At 39.1% G+C, this 23,089-nt stretch overlaps 1 annotated feature.

Annotated features, from left to right (window-relative positions):
* Positions 22,164–22,377: a silencer, noted in NCBI's record as "fragment chr14:25676311-25676524 (GRCh37/hg19 assembly coordinates)". NCBI's record gives its function as "represses an EF-1alpha promoter that drives an FKBP-Casp9 reporter gene in an ReSE screen in K562 erythroleukemia cells {active_cell/tissue: K562}" and the evidence as "EXISTENCE:reporter gene assay evidence [ECO:0000049][PMID:32094911]".

The following is a 23,089-nucleotide window of genomic DNA, read 5'->3' as shown; positions in this document are numbered from 1 at the left end:
AATATTAGGAGAAATACCTAATGTAGATGATGGGTTGATGGTTGCAGCAAACCACCATGGCAAGTGTATACCTATGTAACAAAACTGCACATTCTGCACATGTACCCCAGAACTTAAAGTATAACAAAAAATAAATGCACCGACATTGTATTAACTCTGAGTTTGGGTATTATCTGGCAAAATGGCTAATGAGAAGGACTGTGGGTACATATCAACAAAGGTAAAATGCCAGCCAGCCTGCTGTAGTCTTTTCCAATGAAAGTTCTTGATGGTTTCTGTAGGCCCAATGACAGCAGGCATTAAGACTTAGGAGTATAGCCCCAAGTCATATCCAGCAAATCTCCTCAAGAGGTAACATTTAGCCTCACACATGTAGATGACCCTTACAATAACATGGCCTCATGGCTGACCTCCTCCCCTCCAGTTAACTTGTCCTCCTCCTACTTCAGCCTCTCCTCCTGTAGCCATGCTTCAACAGTGGCATTATGAAAAACTTGTCACCTTACTGTCATATCCTAGCCTTCTAGTTGGTCTCCCTGCTTCTCTATGTTCCTCTAAAGTCTATTCTGAGCACAGCAGCCACAGAAATAGAATTCAGATCATATTATTCCTGCAAAACCCTCCAATGGCTTTCATCTCACTCCAAAAGAAGACAAAGTCCATTAAGTCACCTCTATAGGCGGACAGGATCTAGACTCCTGTTTTTCCCTCATCTCATCTCCTACTGCTCCCCTTCACTCACTTTTCTTCAAAAACCCTGACCTTCTTGGTGTTCTCCCAACATGCCAGCATGCCCAGCCTCAGAGCTTCTGTAATTGCTGCTCTTTCTACTTACAATGCTTTTTCCCCAAAATAATTCCATGGCTCACTTCAGCCTTCCATGCTCACTCTATTTAACAAAGCTGTACCTCCCACAATATTCCTTTTCCTCTGCCCCTGTTTTATTTTTCTCTGTAGCGCTTACCAGTATCAGACATACAACATAATATACTTATTATTTTTATTATTTATTGTATTTCTCCCTCCACTAAAATATAAGCTCCATAGGGTAGGAATTTTTCTTCACTCCTATACCTTCAGCATCCAGAAAAATGTCAGGCAGGTTGCCTGCAGTGCCAGGACCTATGCTCATGCTTGTGCCTTTTTGCACACACTAATGTGCATGCACACACATACATACACACACAGACATACATGTATGCACATACACATATGTTGTGGGAAATCAGCAGCCCCGAATGGAGGGACCAGCTGAAGCCATGGCAGAAGAACATAAATTGTGAAGATTTCATGGACATTTATTAGTTCCCCAAATTAATACTTTTATAATTTCTTACGCCTGTCTTTACTGCAGTCTCTGAACATAAATTGTGAAGATTTCATGGATACTTATCACTTCCCCAATCAATACCCTTGTGATTTCCCATGCCTGTCTTTACTCTAATCTCTTAATCCCATCATCTTCGTAAACTGAGGAGGATGTATGTCGCCTCAGGACCCTGAGATGATTGCGTTAACTGCACAAATTGTTTGTAGAGAATGCGTGTTTGAACAATATGAAATATGAGCACCTTGAAAAAAGAACAGGATAACAGCAATGTTCAGGGAACAAGAGAGATAACCTTAAACTCTGACTGCCAGTGAGCTGGGTGGAACAGAGCCATATTTCTCTTCTTTCAAAAGCAAATGGGAGAAATATCACTGAATTCTTTTTCTCAGCAAGGAACATTCCTGAGAAAGAGAATGTATCCCTGAGGGTAGGCCTCTGAAATGGCCGCTTTGGAGGCAGCTGTCTTTTACGGTCACAGCTGTAGGGATGAAATAAGCCCCAGTCTCCCGTAGCACTCCCAGGCTTATTAGGACGAGGAAATTCCCACCTAATAAATTTTGGTCAGACTGTCTGCTCTCAAAACCTGTCTCCTGATAAGATGTTATCAATGACAATGTGTGCCCGAAACTTCATTAGCAATTTTAATTTCGCCCTGGTCCTGTGGTCCTGTGATCTCCCCCTGCCTCCATTTACCTTGTGATATCTTATTACCTTGTGAAGCATGTGATCTCTGTGACCCACACCCTATTCATACACTCCCTCCCCTTTTGAAAATCACTAATAAAAACTTGCTGGTTTTAAGGCTCAGGGGGCATCACGGAACCTGCCGACATGTGATGTCTCCCAGGACACCCAGCTTTAAAATTTCTCCCTTTTGTACTCTGTCCCTTTATTTCTCAGACCAGTCGACACTTAGGGAAAATAGAAAAGAACCTACGTGACTATCGGGGGCAGGTTCCCCCAATACACATATACATGCATATGTACACATGCACATACATACCCACATATAAATTTAGATTACAGCAGCATTGCTAGAAAGTAAGAGCCTTAGAAAACTTTTCTTATTCCTCCAGCTCTTGGCTTTGTGTTAAGTTTACTCCTAAATTCAAAAGCTATGGAAATTGTACTTGCATAAAGGACAAAATGACCAAGTCAAACTCTGTCTGTGTTCATTCATTTCTTTAGGCAGATGTTACTCCTGAAACTCCCTAGTTTTCCACACACTCACATCTCCTCTAACTTTGCAAAGCTTGGAGTTTCAAACTTTTACTACCTTAGATCCAAATAGCATCCCCATCTACTTAATAAAAAGAAATAACTGGCTTTATCTGTGATAGGATATGGAATCGACTTTTATGCATTAGTCATTCAACCTTGAATTGAATTTTGACAGGCTCTGCAGTGTATTAAATTGCTCCTGCAAGGATGAGAAGTGTATATAACTCAATAATGCCTGTCATTTTCCACTGCAGAGATGAACTTGAATTAAAGCAGAATTAATTCAGCTAACTTAAGCAAAGGTCTAATATCAAGTTTATTTCAGTTAAGGTATAAGACAAATAAGTCAAATTCCTATGCAAAGTTCTGCAGTAGTTCAAACTTTAATCTCTAATTCAAAACGATCACTAGAAATATGTCAAAATCAAGAATTTTATGAATCTTTTACAGCCCACAGAGAGGCTTAGATGAATGGCATGTGTTAAAAAGAAATGAACTACATATTTAGAAAGGACATGACGTTGCAGAAATTAGTCTGTCATTAAGATAGCTCTGCATGTATTCATAGACAAAGTGAACAACTGAGGCATATGTGGAGCGAGCAATCAAACATTTTTTGAGCACCTACTAAGTGTCAGGTACTGTCCTAGGCAGTTTATATTCAGTATCTCACTTAATCCTTGTAGAAAAAAATAAAGTAGACATCTGATTCCATTTTAAAAGTGAGCAAATAGACTCAAAGAGGTTTAGTTAATTGTAGCTAATAGATGACAGAGCCAATGTCTAAACCCAGGGCTGAGCCCAAAGCTGCATCATCTTCCAGTTGTCTCAATAATACCCCACCTAATGGAAAGTCTCAGAGCAAAGAGGCATCTGATAATATTGGTGGAAGATGAGCAACTGGAGAGCCGGCTGGGAAAAGCTCTGAATTAGAAATCGGGGGTAGTTTGCTAAATAACTTTAGATATCTTCTTACTTTAGTTTCCCATCTGTAAAACTGAGACAGTGATTTCTTTACTGCATACTGTGAAGTGTTAACACAAAGGCAATACTTATGTAACAGATTTGCTATGGATGGGCTCCCTGCCTTGGTAAAAGCTTGGATCAGATTTCCCCTATGGCCATGCCAGTTCAAAGGCAATAGTCCCCCAAGAATGCATGGTCAATGCTGAAATGAACCCTTTTCTAATGTAACAAATCACTTCCAACATGTATGTTTATATATATGAGTATATACTTTTGTATATTCAGTTTTCCTAAAACAGCATACACCTCTCTTTGACACAGAAAAGATAATAGCAATGATCTGGGTTCAAAGCTGAACACGTACAATGATTTCACACAAGCCCTTTGCTGCTACAAATATTTTATGTAACTTTATAGCCCCATATCCTGAATCTATAAATACTGAACACCTCCTCAATCTTATGTCAATTTCTCCTTAAGTCACTTATTACAATTCCTTAAGGCACACCTCACTACATCCTTTTAATGCATATAACCTATGTGTCCCTCATTTTTCTTTGTCTAACCATGCCTTCCCTTTACCTAGGAATCTACACATCTGACTCTGACAACACCACTACCTGAACAGTTCCCATGTGACCACTTAGTGCCTCTCATGTTAGTGCATCCCACTGCCTTCCCATTTGTGGATTTCAATCTAATTTCATTTATTTATGTATTTGTTTTGAACTACAACACACACACACAAAAACATACACAAACAAGAAAGAGTCGCAACCCATCTTTCCTTCCAATGTAAACCTTACTTAACCTGTTGATTTACTGCTGTACAGAACAGTCGCGGACAACATTTTAAGGTAACTGAAGTTTGCCCTTACCAAATCTCTGCATTCCTTTACTGGAATTTCTCCACTCCCTCAGAGCAACAAGAGCTTTCACAATTCCCCAGATGTTCAGCACCACTCACTACTTTTAACCCAGGCTTGCAATCTGTGGAGATATCTATCTAAGTGTCTAATTTCTTCTGTCCTCTCCTACCCTACACAAAGCAAATCTGTTCTGTGTCTTATTCTCTCTGTGCCTCAGTCTAAAACATGTCAACCTCAAATCATTAAGACTTTTTACCCAAGCACCGTATCTATATTTCAGAAACAATAATTCAAAGAGTAAATAAAATCTAGGAGAAAGAGAGAGAAAGCAAGTGGCAGGGAGTGGGGAAGGTCTGAAGATACTGAATCAGACAGCAAGCCAGTCAAAGAGCCATTTTGAAGCAGATGATCCTTTCATCGGTCATTGAACCACATCTTTAGATGACTACCTGCTTACTGGGCCAGCCTGTAAACACTTTCATTAGTGTTCCCTGTTAGTATTATTTGAAGGCATTTCACTCTCCATAGGTCGTCTCTAGGTCCCTAAAGTTCACCCTATGTCCCTGTTGTCTAATCCAACAAATCAGACCTGCCAAAGCATGTGTAGTAGATACTTGATGCTGGGTGAACATCACCACTAAATTTATTCTAACTTTAAACAGGACTGCTACTTAGTTCTGATAAGTAGGGATTGGAATCCTGAGCTCATAGTTTCTCCCTAACTGTCCTGCGGGGCCCGTAAGATCAACTTGTCCCTCATTCCCCATTTCTGGGTTTTGACAGACTACTTGGATTTCTATAGCCTGTTTCTGGGCCCCTAATGTAATTGCTTGCCTGATTGACTTTATTCCGTGGATACTAAATTTAACGTGGACCTTCTTCCAGCCCTTACAGGATAATTTTCTTATCCCAACCATTCTAGAACTTGCCCTTCCCTTAATAGGAAAGTCTAGTTGTTGTTCTTAGCCCCTCTAAATCTATTCTTCCCACTGTAATTAAGAAGCCTCTACATCCTGCTAATTCCCAGATAGAACAGTTTTGTCTTTCCTATTAGAGTTCTATCACCATCTAATCAAAAATTGTGACATCTGACTCTATATAACACTTTCTTCTACTCTGCTCATTTTCCTATAATTTCTCCCTAGTATCTACTATGAAGTACTTCATTGAGAATGTAAATCAGTCCTTTACTTCTGAAGTCAAACAGGTGTCTGAAGGTCATTTTAGTGGCCTAAGCAATTCACCACAATGATGTTAGTCCTTCTGTACAATTAATATCTAATTTAGCTAGACTCGGTTAAGGATAGAAGTTTGCTAATAAATGATAAAGAAGGTAAAAGCTATATGAGTTTGTAAATATTTTTAAAGTGAGCTTAAAAGACATTTAAGAAGAAAGAATACAGGTAGGTGAGCATAGTTAAATCATACATCATTCCAAAGCAAAAGCATGACTCTTGCTGATATAGTTTGGATCTGTGTTTCCACCCAAATCTCATACAGAATTTTAATCCCCAGTGTTAAGAGTCAGAGCCTGGTAGGAGGAGACTGGATCATGGGGACAGATTTCTCCCTTGCTGTTCTCGTGATAGTGAGTGAATTCTCATGAGATCTGGTTGTTTAAAAGTGTGTAGCACCTGCCCTTCACTCTCTTCGTCCTGTTCTGACCTTGCAAGATGTGCCTGCTTCCCATTCACCTTCTGCCATAATTGTAAGTTTCCTGAGGCCTCCTCAGCCGTGCTTCCTGTGGAGCCTGTGGAATTGTGGATCTCTTTTCTTTATAAATTATCCAGTCTCAGGTCTTGACGGAGTCTCACTCTGTCACCCAGGCTGGAGTTCAGTGGCACGATATTGGCTCACTGCAACGTCTGCCTCTGAGTTCTGATTCTCCTGCCTCAGCCTCCCAAGTAGCTAGGATTACAGGTGTGTGCCACAACACTCAGGTGTGATTTTTGTATTTTCAGAAGAGGCAGGGTTTCACCATATTGGCCAGGCTGGTCTCAAACTCCTGACCTCAAGTGATCCACCCACCTTGGCCTCCCAAAGTACTGAGATTACAGGTGTGAGCCACTGTGCCTGACCAGGTATTTCTTTATAGCAGTGGAAGAATTAACTAATACACATGCATGCCTTAACTTCTATGTATCTTCATACTCTTCAAGGTGCTTTTAGTTAAAACTCTAGTGAAATTTCCATCCCCACTCATTGATCTAGAATATATCCATAATCTGAACTTAAGGAAAAATACTTGGACTAGAACCCTTCCTGACAAATTCCATCACATAGAGATGAACCCCATAAGGATGTTTTCTCCTCCATGTTTGCTGCCTCACAATAAGTGTGGGTAATCACAAGCTATTCATCTTTATTTTCAGAGAACTCTGGGAAATCAGAAGAGATGAGAATTGATTAATGCTCTCCATGAAAAGTTCAATAACTGTTTAATCACAGCTTGAAAATAAAGCAATGCTTCTGATCTTTTACAAATTAATTTAACATTGCATTAAAAATAAAATGGGCTGTAAATTGTGCTGTGCAGGGATAATCAATGGCTCATTATCTTTGCTTCTAGCAAAATGCACTGATTCTTTTAAAGCCATTAATGAGCAATACTGGGCAGTACACAGCTGCAAATGTGTTCAAGTATTATTGATTCTACATCTATAAAACTAATCTCATCAGGGCAGAATTTATGAGCAGTAATAATGCAAACTGTTCCATGGTCCACACAGAAGAAATAAAAAAGAAAATTCATGGGCATAAGGCAAGATTATAAGATCACTGGAGAGGAACAATTTCTGAGCCCTTATTCTATTCTGTTGCCAGCACATTGTGGTACTTAATCACTGTTAAATATAAATCTAATAAAAAGAGATTATCAATGGTGACCAATGAAATGTTAACAGTCTTTTCATATAACTAAACCATTATGATAATTCTGTAATTTGAATTGATGTTACCAATTTCCTTAGACATTACTAAGACATTATGTACAAATTATCTATCAGGTTACTTCTATATTATTTCATATTTTATTACATAATGCTTGCAAATATTTTGCTACTGAAACAGAAACATTGAGTTGATATATTGTTTTCATTGTCCAACTTTGTAAAATAAATGTGTTGTCCATGTGTCCAACTGCCTGTTAGATCTCTCCCCCTTGGGAGTCCATTAAGCCTTTCAATCTAACATGTACAAAAATCTTGAGCTGGCTCCTAGTCAGCTGAGGTAGCTGCTGAATCTTGGGATCTAGTTTATCCTCAATGCCAGAGGGCGGGAAAAGGAAGAAAGGGCCCTTGAAGCTTCATTAGGAGGAGAATGGTGGGAGAATGGAGAATTTTCCACAAATAGAAATAGAGGATGGAAATGAAAATCTAACAACTCTAACATGTATCAGGCCAGATTTTTCTTCTATTTTACTTTAATTGCTACAATGCAGAAGTAAAGCTTAATTATGTTCAGTTAATACCAAGGACTGCCTTACAGAGAAACTATCATCACTAAGAAGCATCATAACAAAGAGAGATAGCATTTTGCTGAAAACTGACAGACTAGCATCCCACTTGTTGTTATGAAACTTCACCACGTTTGTTGAGCTGAGCTCTGAAATGCAAAGATTTAACATCCCTACTTTTGTGCCAGATATTTAATAGCAGGAATTAGAAATAACAATCCACGTAATATAAATGTGTAGAAATTGCCAAAAATTGTTAAATCTTTAAAAAAAAAACTTGCCTAGAAATTTCAAGCTAATAATACTGCATTTTCAGGGGTTTAGGATTACTTCTATTAACAGTGGCGGCCTGCTGATCCAAAAGTTCATGGAGAGAGAGCAGAACTTGATTTCTACTCTCAGCATCTCGAGGCCCCAACATGCAGGTAAGTGACACACTTTAATCTAGCAATGGTAAGGAGGAATAAAAGTGACGTATTTCCATCCAGTTTTCTTACACAGCACTTAATGTTAAAGGAATTTTCTTGCTTATTTATAAGAACATGTGACTTATAATAGAGACACAAGTAAAAACTACTGCCCAGCATTTCCTCAAAAAGATTGCCCAACTTTTTGTTTCCCAGACTCTCCAACAGTATTTCAGAGCCACGTTATATCAACACTCAGTTACATTTAGAGAGTGTAAATTTGGAAACACCTACGTTTCTCAGAATTAGACAAAAAAGAATGTAAATTCAAAAGGTGAGTGAAGCCAAAAGCAGAAGCTGGACTTGGATAAAGCAGTAAGTCCAAACTAGGGGATGCTGAACTTGTTTCTAAAGGCTCAGCCAGCCTGCAGTTAATCCATGAGGAGGCACAGTGATGGTTGTGTCTCTAGTGATAACAAGGGTCACACCCAGGATATCACACAAGGATGGCTTCTCTTTCCCACTAACTAGCTCCCAAGACAAAGTGGACTTTGCCACTTACTGCTCTCAGAGGTTAGATGTCACAGATGCAGGCAAGAAAACAAGCTGGTGTGAAGTTTCTGAGGTCACATCACATATACTCCTAAGGACTGATTGGCCTACTCATAAATTAACTTTAACATAGATATTTTCTACTGACCATACTATAGCATAGGTCACTTTAATTTGGACAACTGAAGTCCCAGATAAAGCATTTAAGCTGGGTAACAACTTTGAAGTATGATAAATCTGCACAGCAGTTCTCAAATTTTGGAATGAATAAAAATTATTTGTGAACTTCGTTTTAAAACACAAGCGTATAAGAAATAATGCACACCTCATGAATCGTTCAAGAAATGTAAATCAAAATTGCAATGAGATACCACTTCATACCCACTAAGATAGCTAAAAAAAAATTAAAGCAGACAACAAGTGTTGGCAAGGATGTGAAGGAATTGGATTGTAAAATGGTGCAATTTTTTGGAAAGCAGTGTGGCCATTCCTCAAAATGTTAAATATACAGTTACCATATGAGCCAGCAATTCCACTTCTAGCTGTACACCTATATTCATTTGCTAGGGCTGTCAAAACAAAATACTATAGACTGGGTGGCTTAAACAACAGAAATTTATTTTCTCATAGTTCTGAAAGCTGGAAAACTAAGATCAAGGTGCCAACCAGGGCTGCTTTCTCCTGGAGCCTCTCTCCTTGCCTTGCAGCTGGCTGCCCTCTTGCCACCTCTCTTCACGTGTTCATCCCTCTGTGTATGTGTACCCTAGGTATCTCTCTGCAGTCATGATCTCTTCTTACATCAGATTGGATTTGGGTCCACCCTAATGGCCTCATTTTAATTTAATCATCTCTTTGAAACCCTTGTATCCAAATGTAATCACATTCTGGGGTATTGGGGTTGGGAATTCAACATATGAATTTGTGGGGAGGGCATAACTTAGGCCATAACAATATCTAAAAGAACTGAAAACATGTCCACACAAAACTTATACATGAATGTTCATAGCATTCATAATGGCTAGAAGTTGAAGCAAACCAAATGTCCATAAACTGAAGAATGGGTAAACATAGTATACTATATCCATACAATGGATTATTATTGGGCAATAAAAAGGAATGAAATACTGATTTATGATTCAACATTGATGAACTTTGAAATCATTATGCTAAGTGAAAGAAGCCAATCAATACAAAGGCCACACATATTGTATTATTCCATATATAAAATAACCAGAATGAGTAATCATAGAAACGGAAAGTAAAGTAGATTCATGGTTGCCAGGAGCTAGGGAGAGGGAACATGGAAAGTGATTGCTAATGAGTTCAAGATTTGTTCTGGGGGTGATAAAAAATGTTCTGAAATTAATTACTGGTGATGGTTGCCGACCTTTGTGAATATACTGAAAACCACTGAATTGTATACTTTAAAAAGGTAAATTCTTTGTATGAAATTTCGTTTTAATAAATGTATTATTTAAATTAAAAACCACCAGCCTTGGTGACATGGCAAAACCCCATCTCTACAAAAAGACAAAAATTAGCCAGGAGTGGTGGTGTGCACCTGTAATCCCAGCTACTCAGGAGGCTGAGGTGGGAGGACTGCTTGAGCCTGGGAGGTTGAGGCTGCAGTGAGCTATGATCATGCCACTACATTCCAGCCTGGGTGATACTGAGAGACCCTTTCTCAAAAAAAAAAAAAAAAAAAAAAAAAAAATCACAGATATAGTCTGAGTCTCCCTACCCACCCAATTACAGAGATTCTGATTCAGAATATCTGGAGAAGGCCTAGAAATGTGCATTTTTTAACAAGTGTTTTCCCACCTTCCAAAAAGTAGAACTTTGACAAATAATAAGATAAAATATTCTTGATATGGGCTTCTGGACTACTTTGATTGAGAGGCCAGAGAGCTTTATAAAAAGCCGACACTAGAATCCCTACAGTGAGTTATCTAAGCTGCTGAGGGATAATGGTCACCTTGGATTAGGGAAGGGGCTCAACCTGAGTAGAGAAGAGCTGAGGTGTAAAAACTTGCACTTAAGATGGGCAAGGAGAAGCTACAACGTCTACCACAATGACACAGATGGTCTTTTGGACCTTGGATGTCCTGAGAAGATGGAGCTGTCATTTAAAGAAAATCAACTCATGTTTATTCACTGGGCACTTATGTATTAAACCAAATGCACATGGTCTAAATAGCAGAGTGCATTGCACTGGGGAAGAATATTTACTCTCACTTTGCCAGCTTCAACTCTGAGACAATTGGAGATAAAACAAAAATTGCCGCAGTCAAAGAGTAATAGAAAAGATACTCCAGAATAGAAAGATGGCCCTATATTTGATCAGATATGATTGGATTTTTTTAAACATTATTGAGGCAATTTGCAGGCATATGATGCTTAGGTTTGGGGTTGGGGTTAGAGCTAAAATAAGATACAGGATAAGAATTCTGTATCTCTTTCTATAAAGAGTGTTCAGGATATGAAGCCTGAATAGTCCCTACAAAAGTAATAATCAAAGTTCTTTCCAGCACATGTGCTTGATACTAAGCTAACAAGAGAATGATCAAATTAGATAACCTTTAAATATTATCATGGAAGAAGCGGGCAAAAGGTGCCCAAAAAGACAATTCATGGAAGATGTTTTTCCCAATTCTCAACCAAGAAAAAGTATTAAAATTGTAGAAAGTGTGATAGCCAACTTCCAGGAAGGCTCACAGATAGCCTCCTATTATTCATACCTCTATACAGTCCTTTCCCACACTGACCAACAGAATACAGCAGAAGTGATGAAATACCACTTCCAAAATCAGATTGTAAAACACAGGACAGCTTCCAGCTTGCTTACTCTCTTTCTCTCTTGTAGCACATGGTCTGGGGAAAACTAGCTGCCATGTCATAAGTAACCTAGTGAGAGGCTCATGTGGCAAAAAACTGGGGCTTCTTCTTCACAGCCACCTTACACATGGGTCCTCCTACCCCAGACAAGCCCTCAGAAGACTGCAGCCCCAGCCAGCAGCTTGAATGCAGCCTCATAAGGGATCCTGAGCCAGAATCACCCATCTAAGTCATTGTCAGATTCCTAACTCTTAGAAAGTGATAAATATATATTGTCATTACTTGCTATGTTTGGGGGTAAATAAGTTTTGAAATTTTTTTAAGAATTCTTTTTTTAGCAGTTTCACATTCACAGTAAAATTGAGAGAAAGGTACAGAAATATCCCATATATCCTTTCTCCCTCCATGTGTGCACAGAGCCGCCCCCATTGTCAATATCCCCCAACAGAGTGGTACATATGTTACAATTGATGAACTTACATTGACGCATCATTATTACCCAACTGGGATAATTTTTACATAGCAATAGATAACTAATACAGAAAGTTAATACTATTTTTATATTATATTGTTTTATAAATAATTGTTTTATGGTATAATGTTTTAATGAATTCTTGGCACCTAATACCCATTATCTGCCAAAGAGACAATAAAATATGTAAAACAAGTAACTAATGGTACTAATGGGAAAGTCAGAAAGCACCATCCATGCAGAGAGGAAATAGCACAGTGAGAAGTAGTTTGGAGTCAAACAGATCTGGATTCAACTCAGACTCTAACTCTTTCTTGATGTGTGACCTTGGGAAAGTTTCCTAAACTCTCCTACCCGTCAATTGAGGACAATGCCTTCCTCATGGGGCTTTTGTGAAGTTTAAATAGATGACCATATATGGAAAGCACCCAACACACAGAAAGTTTTCAACATATGTTTATTTCTCCCCATCCTTTTTGATTCTTGTAATTGCAATTTGGGACATGAATGATTGCCTAATAGACATATTTTCTTCTAGCAAAAGTTTCCCTTTGTAGATATCATAAAATGTAATATATAAATCTTTCTGGCCCAGGTGTGGTGACTCACCCCTGCACTCCGAGCACTTTGAGAGGCCAAGGAAGGAGGATCAGTTGAGTCCAGGAGTTCTAGACCAGCTTAAGCAACATAGTGAGACCCTGTCTCTACCAAAAATAAAAACTTGCTGGGTGTGGTGGTGCACACCTGTAGTCATAGCTACTCAGGAAGTGAGAGGATAGCTTGAGCCCAGGCGATAGAAGCTTCAGTTAGCTGTGACAGCACCACTGCACTCCAGACTAGGCAACAGAGCAAGACACTGTCTCCAAAAACAAAACAAAACAAAACAAAAGCAATGAAACAAATAAATCTTTCCCAATATTTTATGGGAAAAAAAAACTTGACTTCTAGGTGACCATTTGAATTTTATGAGAATAACTGGATCCTATGACTAACTTGGAATACCTGTAATTGGCCATTAATCATATGCAAGTGGTAGAAAAAATAACATCAAAATTCCTCCTTATAATACCAACTCCCTTCCCTATTTCCATCTTCAGAGATGGCCAAATTAAAGTGATACTATCTTCCACATTCTGAAAGACAGACACCACCTCTGGGTAACTTTTAAGAAAGTTTCATAGCAATCCTATAGTCAACAAGGCCTGCCCTTTCCTGTACAGTGGTGAAAAGAGCAGAATTCAGCAGAAGTTTAGAAAGTCATAGTAAAGTCACACCTGAACCAGTCTAAGAGAGCAAACAAAAAGTCTTCTTTAGAGAAGTGTTCTTGGAGAAGTTGCCTCTTAAAACACGTTTCTTAGGCTGTAAAACTCTGGAGGTCCTCATTGTAATGAAGGAATAAATATAAGGTGATCAATCTTCCAGTTTTCTGCTGTGAGAAGATTCCTAGTGAAAATTCTCTGGGTAGTTGGTTTCCTCCCACCCACCTGCACTGTCTGTCTGCACTTCCATATGCATGCATAGGACATTGCCTAATGCAACCACAGTGAGACATAGGTGCCATCTGCCTCACCAGCTCCCTGACTCACCTTGTGATACATCTAATGCTACAGAGATGAAGAAGATTCAGATGGCACAATAGAACTCAAGCTTATTAACAGCCCATCTGCTCAGCCAGACAACACCTCAACTGGATGCAAGAACAGGATTGTAAAGGACTAGCAGAGCAGACCCATATACTAATCAGGCTGATTTGACAGTATTCATAGAGGTTTCAAGATTTTTTGCTTATTTATTTATTTTCTTATTTATTTATTAGATTTAGAAACAAATACAAATAATCTGCTTAATATTAAATTTTTCTATAACCGTAAACTCCTGTGATATCCACATCACTTGCACCTTCTCTCAAGTCTTTGCTCAAATATCACGTTCTCACTGTCCCTTTCCCAGACCACCCTATTTAAATTATAGGCCTCCAGTCTTTGAACACGCTATACTTCCTCACTCCTTTATTTTACTCCTTAATACTTATCACCATAATATATCATTTAATTTACCAATATGTTTGCTAAATGTTTTTCTCACTCCAGTAGTATTTAAAGTCCATGAGAATTGAGAATGTATCTCCAATGTCTAAGACAATACCTAATACGTGATAGGTACTTAATAAATATTTGCTAAATGACTACTATTTTGTTCTCTTATCTTCATGTAAAAACACTGTCTTAAAGCTTTGTCTCCACCTCCTTACTGATGCCACTCTCTTCCCCCTGCACATAATAGCCCTCTCCCATTGCTATACACATGGTAAAAGTGCAATAAATATTTAAAATATTGACCAATTAATTAACCATTGACTCCACTAGAGACATCTGAGAGAGCAGAGGGAAAAAGAAAGCTCTATCACCTGGATTGAAAATATCAAAATGTTGTTATTCTTATGCTCACTGGACAAATATTCATTAAGAAGCTTGCATGCTATCTTTGCTTTCACAAATGGTTTTGCACATAAGAGATTGGAGAATGCAAAGATTAATATCTACATTCAATGTAGTCACTTCAGTATGCTGCTGGAATTTGTGATTTTGCTTTTATGCAGTTTTCTCGAAGCAATAAAATATAAGCTTACATATATAATGAGCTGTCTAAGGACCTGGCACAATTATATATCCAATTCTCTTAAATCAGCTGCTTAGAAAATGGCAGATAACCCTTCTGATTTACGAAAGGAATTTTCAGGACTCTATTTGAAATGCAGAAATAGTTTAAAAACTTGATAGCAAGAAATGGGCTGGTAGCTTATATTGGAAAAGAGAGATAAGGGAGAAATAGAGCTTAACTTTAAAATTAGACCCAGAAGGCAGGTTGGGGGTGAGATAACAAGGGTTAGTGGGACCCAACATCAATGGGGCTTAGATTGTTTATGAACCACCCCAGAAATATTGCCATTTTGATATCTTTTGATATACTATTGAAAGTTAATGGCAAAAACCACAATCACTGTTGCACCAACCTAATACATTTATTTGCTAGTCTATTAAATGGTCTATCATTAACTTGCCACAACTGGCCCAGATTTCAGAAGATGTCTAACTTGCCTAGTGAGCAGTGCCTTAAGCACTGCAGGAATCTGGTTCACAGTGTGAGAACAGACTCTTAAGTGTTCAGTGATCAAGCATACGTAACATATATGTTCTTTGGAGTTAAAATTTTCTGAAGCTACAAAAGTTATTTCATTCATTTATTTAGAAAATGAATATAGTGGTGACGAATCACATAGTTATGAATCAGATAATGTGCCTAATTTCAGAGAGCTGACATTTGAGATAGAGAAGCAGTCAGAAACAAAAAATTTAAAAATTAAATTTTTGAAAAAGAAATGTTATCTTAATTTGTGTATATGGTGAAAGGTACAGGTATAGTTTCATTCTTCTGTGTATGGCTAGCCAGTTATCCAAGCACCATTTATTAAATAGGGAGTTCTTTCCCCATTACTTGTTTTTGTCAACCTTGTTGAAGATCATATTGTTGTAGGTGTATGGCTTTATTTCTGAGTTTTCTATTCTGTTCTATTGGTCTGTGTGTCTGTTTTTGTACTCATACCATGCTGTTTTGATTACTGTAGTCTTGTGGTATAATTTCAAGTTGGGTAATGCGATGCCTCCTACAGCATGGAATACTATACAGCCATAAAAAATAAGGAAATCATGTCCTTTGCAGCAACATGGATGTAGCTGAAGGCCATAATCTGAAGTGAATTAACACAGGAACAGAAAACCAAATATCACATGTTCTCATTTATATAAGTGGGAGCTAAATATTCAGCACACATATACATAAACACGAGGACAATAGATGCTGTCAACTACTAGAGTGAGGCAGGAGGGAGTGGGTACCATGCTCACTATCTGGGTCCAATATACCCATGTAACAATCCTACACATGTAGTCCTTATATCTAAAATAAAAGGTGATTTTTTAAAGAAGTATAAAAATAAATTACCAATTAAGATATACACTGTGATAAATGCTGTGAAAGAAATATATAGAGTGATGAGTAGAGATTAAGGTCACACTGAGGAGGACACTGAGGCGCTGACATTGCAGTCTGACTTGAAGGGTAAACTAGCCATGCAAAGAACTACAGAAAAAAAGGTTCTAAGCAGAGGGACAGCAAATACAAGGCCTGGCATTAGGAAAGGGCTTGTTGTACTCTGCAACAGAGAGGAGGCCAGTGCTGCTTGAATGAGGAAGGGAGTTGTGTGAGATGAGGTTCAAGGGGTGCACAGGAGCCAGTTCATACAGAATAATGTGGGCCAGGTTAAGTAGGTGAGATTTTATTTTAAGTGCAATGGGAAATAACCTTTACCTTAGACTTCTACTTAACGTCATATTTCAAGCAAGATCACCTGAAAAACTTCCATCCATAAACACCTAGAAATGCTGGATAAAAGAGCAAAAAAAATTGAGCGTAGATAGGAGCTTATGATTTTAAAAAAGGAGAGAGATCCAAGTGCTAGAGGGGAAAGGGTGGATGTTGACTGAGAATGGACATAAGGGAACAGTCTGGATCCTAGAAATGTTTTCAAACCTTGATCTGAGTGGTAAAGTAAGTGTGTATATATATCAAAATTAATAGAGTTGTACAATTATGATTTGTACACTTCCTATGTGTATTTTATACATCAATAAAATTTTAAAAATAAATAAGAGTAACCAAAGAGGAAAAACAAATCAATTAGAAAAACAATAGATTTCTCAACTGCAGCAACAGGGGCTAGCATCCAAAAATAATATTTCATTGTGCTGGGGGAAAATATCTTAGTCTAGAGTTCTATATCCTATTAAATTATCATTCAAAAAATGTGGGCAAAATAAACACATTTTTAGACAAACACTAAGAAAATTCCCACTCCCACAGATTTTCACTCTAGATACTTAAACAAACAGCAAATTGAACTTAGTAGAAAGGCATGGAAATCAAGAAATGACAAGTGAAAAATGTCTTGCAGACACCACTGATCTGCAGTCAGTGGGATCACGAAATTAGAAGACCATGAAACTGGGGATCACCAGTTTGGCTAAGGTTTCCTTGTCTGGATTTTTAGATACAAATTATCTGTGCCTTTGCCTTCTTACCTATAAAATAGAGATGATACTAGTACCTTATGCATATAATAATGGTGAGGATTGTGTGTGTGTGTGTGTGTGTGTGTGTGTGTGTGTGTCCTTGAAGCAGTGCCTAGTGGTGATGAACTATTACTATTACACATTATATATCTGAACCCCTGACAGGAAGTCTTGCTTTATGGATCATAAAGAAAGTTCTTTCAGAAGTATCGAACTCTTTTCCCTTATATATCGCAAATAGCTTATTTCTTTTTAAAGTCTTCTAGATGTTCATTAATCTATTTTTTAAAATAGAATGATGGAAATCCACCCACAAGTTTGAAGCAAAAGAGTGAAAAAATTTGCTTCATTTTTTTAAATGGTCACTGTGGCTACTGTACAGGAAAAAAAGTTGGAAGAGGGCAAAAGGGGAAACAAGAAAACCAGTTATAAGGTATTTCCATAGGAAAAGGATAAACTGACAGTGTACTAGACTGGACAAAAATAATTTTAGGAAAAAGTTTAGGAAAAAAATAATAAAAACAGAAATTATATATTAAAATGTAAAATCTAGTACTAAAAAACTATTGAGAATATTGGAGCAAAAAGTTACTAAATTATATCTAGATTCTCAAAATCAGAAAATGTAATTCTGAAAACTCTTATTGTACTCTGGCATTATCTTTCATTTATGCAATACCTTTAGTAACCTCAGATTTCCATCCAAATTTATCTCCAACTATACAATTTCAGACTGTCCAATTCCTACTCCTTTGATCATACAATCACATCTGCCCTAACTGTTCCTCTCTCCCTCTTCTGCATAAAGTCTTATGCATACTTCAAATAGTTGGTCACATTTCATCTTCTCCACCCCAGATTTTCTACTGTTGGAATCAATATTTCTATCCCTTATTTTCCAAATATGCTAACTCTACTAAATTAATGGACCTTTCCTTATGCCAATCTGCCTTGTAGTTATCTGAATTACAAAATGAATTACAAAACTAAAAATTAAGAGTTTTCTCTCCGAAGATTACAAAACTCTGAAAATTAAGAAATACGTCATATTCGCTACAAAGAACTCAAGCTAATCAGCAAGAAAAAAAAATCCTATAAAAAAGTGGGCTAAGGACATCAATAGACACATTCTCAAAAGATATACAAATGGCCAAAAAGCATATGGAAAGATGTTCAACATCACTAATTATCAGGGAAATGCAAACAAAAACCACAACGCAATATCACCTCACTCCTGCAAGAATGGCTATAATAAAAAAAAATTTAAAAATAATAGATGTTGGCATGGATGTGGTGAAAAGGGAACACTTTTACACTGCTGGTGGGAATGTAAACTAGTACAGCCACTATGGAAAACAGTGTGGAGATTCCTTAAAGAAATAAAAGTAGGTCGGGCATGGTGGCTCACACCTGTAATATCAGCACTTTGGGAGGCCGAGGTGGGCGGATCACCTGAGGTCAGGAGTTCGAGACCAGCCTGACCAACATGGGGAAACCCCATCTCTACTAAAACAGTACAAAATTAGCTGGGCATGGTGGCGCATGCCTGTAATCCCAACTACTCAGGAGCCTGAGGCAGGAGAATCACTTGAACCTGGGAGGTGGAGGTTGAAGTGAGCTGAGATTGTGCCATTGAACTCCAGCCTGGGCAACGAGAGTGAAACTCCATTAAAAAAAAAAAAAGGAGGAGGAGCCAAGATGGCCGAATAGGAACAGCTCCGGTCTACAGCTCCCAGCATGAGCAACACGGAAGATGGTGATTTCTGCATTTCCATCTGAGGTACCGGGTTCATCTCACTAGGGAGTGCCAGACAGTAGGCGCAGGTCAGTGGGTGCGTGCACCGTGCGCGAGCCGAAGCAGGGCAAGGCATTGCCTCACTTGGGAAGCACAAGGGGTCAGGGAGTTCCCTTTCCGAGTCAAAGAAAGGGGTGACAGACGGCACCTGGAAAATCGGGTCACTCCCACCCGAATACTGCGCTTTTCCGAGGGGCTTAAAAAACGGTGCACCAAGAGATTATATCCCGCACCTGTCTTGGAGGGTCCTACGCCCACAGAGTCTCGCTGATTGCTAGCACAGCAGTCTGAGATCAAACTGCAAGGCGGCAGCCAGGCTGGGGGAGGGGTGCCCGCCATTGCCCAGGCTTGATTAGGTAAACAAAGCAGCCGGGAAGCTCCAACTGGGCGGAGCCCACCACAGCTCAAGGAGGCCTGCCTGCCTCTGTAGGCTCCACCTCTGGGGGCAGGGCACAGACAAACAAAAAGACAGCAGTAACCTCTGCAGACTTAAATGTCCCTGTCTGACAGCTTTGAAGAGAGCAGTGGTTCTCCCAGCACGCAGCTGGAGATCTGAGAACGGGCAGACTGCCCCCTCAAGTGGGTCCCTGACCCCTGACCCCTGAGCAGCCTAACTGGGAGGCACCCCCCAGCAGGGGCACACTGACACCTCACACGGCAGGGTATTCCAACAGACCTGCAGCTGAGGGTCCTGTCTGTTAGAAGGAAAACTAACAAACAGAAAGGACATCCACACCAAAAACCCATCTGTACATCACCATCATCAAAGACCAAAAGTAGATAAAACCACAAAGATGGGGAAAAAACAGAACAGAAAAACTGGAAACTCTAGAAAGCAGAGCACCTCTCCTCCTCCAAAGGAACGCAGTTCCTCACCAGCAACGGAACAAAGCTGGGTGGAGAATGACTTTGACGAGCTGAGAGAAGAAGGCTTCAGACGATCAAATTACTCTGAGCTACGGGAGGACATTCAAACCAAAGGCAAAGAAGTTGAAAACTTTGAAAAAAATTTAGAAGAATGTATAACTAGAATAACCAATACAGAGAAGTGCTTAAAGGAGCTGATGGAGCTGAAAACCAAGGCTCGAGAACTACGTGAAGAATGCAGAAGCCTCAGGAGCCGATGCAATCAACTGGAAGAAAGGGTATCAGCAATGGAAGATGAAATGAATGAAATGAAGTGAGAAGGGAAGTTTAGAGAAAAAAGAATAAAAAGAAACGAGCAAAGTCTCCAAGAAATATGAGACTATGTGAAAAGACCAAATCTACGTCTGATTGGTGTACCTGAAAGTGATGGGGAGAATGGAACCAAGTTGGAAAACACTCTGCAGGATATTATCCAGGAGAACTTCCCCAATCTAGCAAGGCAGGCCAACGTTCAGATTCAGGAAATACAGAGAACGCCACAAAGATACTCCTTGAGAAGAGCAACTCCAAGACACATAATTGTCAGATTCACCAAAGTTGAAATGAAGGAAAAAATGTTAAGGGCAATGAGAGAGAAAGGTCAGGTTACCCTCAAAGGGAAGCCCATCAGACCAACAGCGGATCTCTTGGCAGAAACCCTACAAGCCAGAAGAGAGTGGAGGCCAATATTCAACATGCTTAAAGACAAGAATTTTCAACCCAGAATTTCATATCCAGCCAAACTAAGCTTCATAAGCGAAGGAGAAATAAAATACTTTACAGACAAGCAAATGCTGAGAGATTTTGTCACCACCAGGCCTGCCCTAAAAAAGCTCCTGAAGGAAGCACTAAACATGGAAAGGAACAACCGGTACCAGCCGCTGCAAAATCATGCCAAAACGTAAAGACCATCAAGACTAGGAAGAAACTGCATGAACTAACGAGCAAAATAACCAGCTAACATCATAATGATAGGATCAAATTCACACATAACAATATTAACTTTAAAAGTAAATGGACTTAATGCTCCAATTAAAAGACACAGACTGGCAAATTGGATAAAGAGTCAAGACCCATCAGTGTGCTGTATTCAGGAAACCCACCTCACATGCAGAGACACACATAGACTCAAAATAAAAGGATGGAGGAAGATCTACCAAGCAAATGGAAAACAAAAAGGCAGGGGTTGCAATCCTAGTCTCTGATAAAACAGACTTTAAACCAACAAAGATCAAAAGAGACAAAGAAGGCCATTACATAATGGTAAAGCCATCAATTCAACAAGAAGAGCTAACTATCCTAAATACATATGCACCCCATACAGGAGCACCAAGATTCATAAAGCAAGTCCTGAGTGACCTACAAAGAGACTTAGACTCCCACACATTAATAATGGGAAACTTTAACACCCCACTGTCAACATTAGACAGATCAACGAGACAGAAAGTCAACAAGGATACCCAGGAATTGAACTCAGCTCTGCACCAAGCGGACCTAATAGACATCTACAGAACTCTCCACCCCAAATCAACAGAATATACATTTTTTTCAGCACCACACCACACCTATTCCAAAATTGACCACATACTTGGAAGTAAAGCTCTCCTCAGCAAATGTAAAAGAACAGAAATTATAACAAACTATCTCTCAGACCACAGTGCAATCAAACTAGAACTCAGGATTAAGAATCTCACTCAAAACCGCTCAACTACATGGAAACTGAACAACCTGCTCCTGAATGACTACTGGGTATATAATGAAATGAAGGCAGAAATAAAGATGTTCTTTGAAACCAATGAGAACAAAGACACAACATACCAGAATCTCTGGGACGCATTCAAAGCAGTGTGTAGAGGGAAATTTATAGCACTAAATGCCCACAAGAGAAAGCAGGAAAGATCCAAAATTGACACCCTAACATCACAATTAAAAGAACTAGAAAAGCAGGAGCAAACACATTCAAAAGCTAGCAGAAGGCAAGAAATAACTAAAATCAGAGCAGAGCTGAAGGAAATAGAGACACAAAAAACCCTTCAAAAAATTAGTGAATCCAGGAGCTGGTTTTTTGAAAGGATCAACAAAATTGATAGACCGCTAGCAAGACTAATAAAGAAAAAAAGAGAGAAGAATCTAATAGACGCAATAAAAAATCATAAAGGGGATATCACTACCGATCCCACAGAAATACAAATTACCATCAGAGAATACTACAAACTCCTCTACGCAAATAAACTAGAAAATCTAGAAGAAATGGATAAATTCCTCGACACATACACTCTCCCAAGACTAAACCAGGAAGAAGTTGAGTCTCTGAATAGACCAATAACAGGATCTGAAATTGTGGCAATAATCAATAGTTTACCAACCAAAAAGAGTCCAGGCCGGGCGCGGTGGCTCACGCCTGTAATCCCAGCACTTTGGGAGGCCGAGGCGGGCGGATCACGAGGTCAGGAGATCAAGACCATCCCGGCTAAAACGGTGAAACCTCGTCTCTACTAAAAATACAAAAAATTAGCCGGGCGTAGTGGCGGGCGCCTGTAGTCCCAGCTACTTGGGAGGCTGAGGCAGGAGAATGGCATGAACCCGGGAGGCGGAGCTTGCAGTGAGCCGAGATCCCGCCACTGCACTCCAGCCTGGGCGACAGAGCGAGACTCCGTCTCAAAAAAAAAAAAAAAAAAAAAGAGTCCAGGACCAGATGGATTCACAGCTGAATTCTACCAGAGGTATAAGGAGGAACTGGTACCATTCCTTCTGAAACTATTCCAATCAATAGAAAAAGAGGGAATCCTCCCTAACTCATTTTATGAGGCCAGCATCATTCTGATACCAAAGCCAGGCAGAGACACACAAAAAAAAGAGAATTTTAGACCAATACCTGTGATGAACACTGATGCAAAAATCCTCAATAAAATACTGGCAAAACGAATCCAGCAGCACATCAAAAAGCTTATCCACCATGATCAAGTGGGCTTCATCCCTGGGATGCAAGGCTGGTTCAATATACGCAAATCAATAAATGTAATCCAGCATATAAACAGAGCCAAAGACAAAAAGCACATGATTATCTCAATAGATGCAGAAAAAGCCTTTGACAAAATTCAACAACCCTTCCTGCTAGAAACTCTCAATAAATTAGGTATTGATGGGACGTAT

The sequence above is a fragment of the Homo sapiens genome, chromosome 14, assembly GCF_000001405.40.
Source record: "Homo sapiens chromosome 14, GRCh38.p14 Primary Assembly".
In the NCBI taxonomy this organism is placed as follows: domain Eukaryota; kingdom Metazoa; phylum Chordata; class Mammalia; order Primates; family Hominidae; genus Homo; species Homo sapiens.
This window is presented reverse-complemented; position numbering and strand designations above follow the sequence as displayed.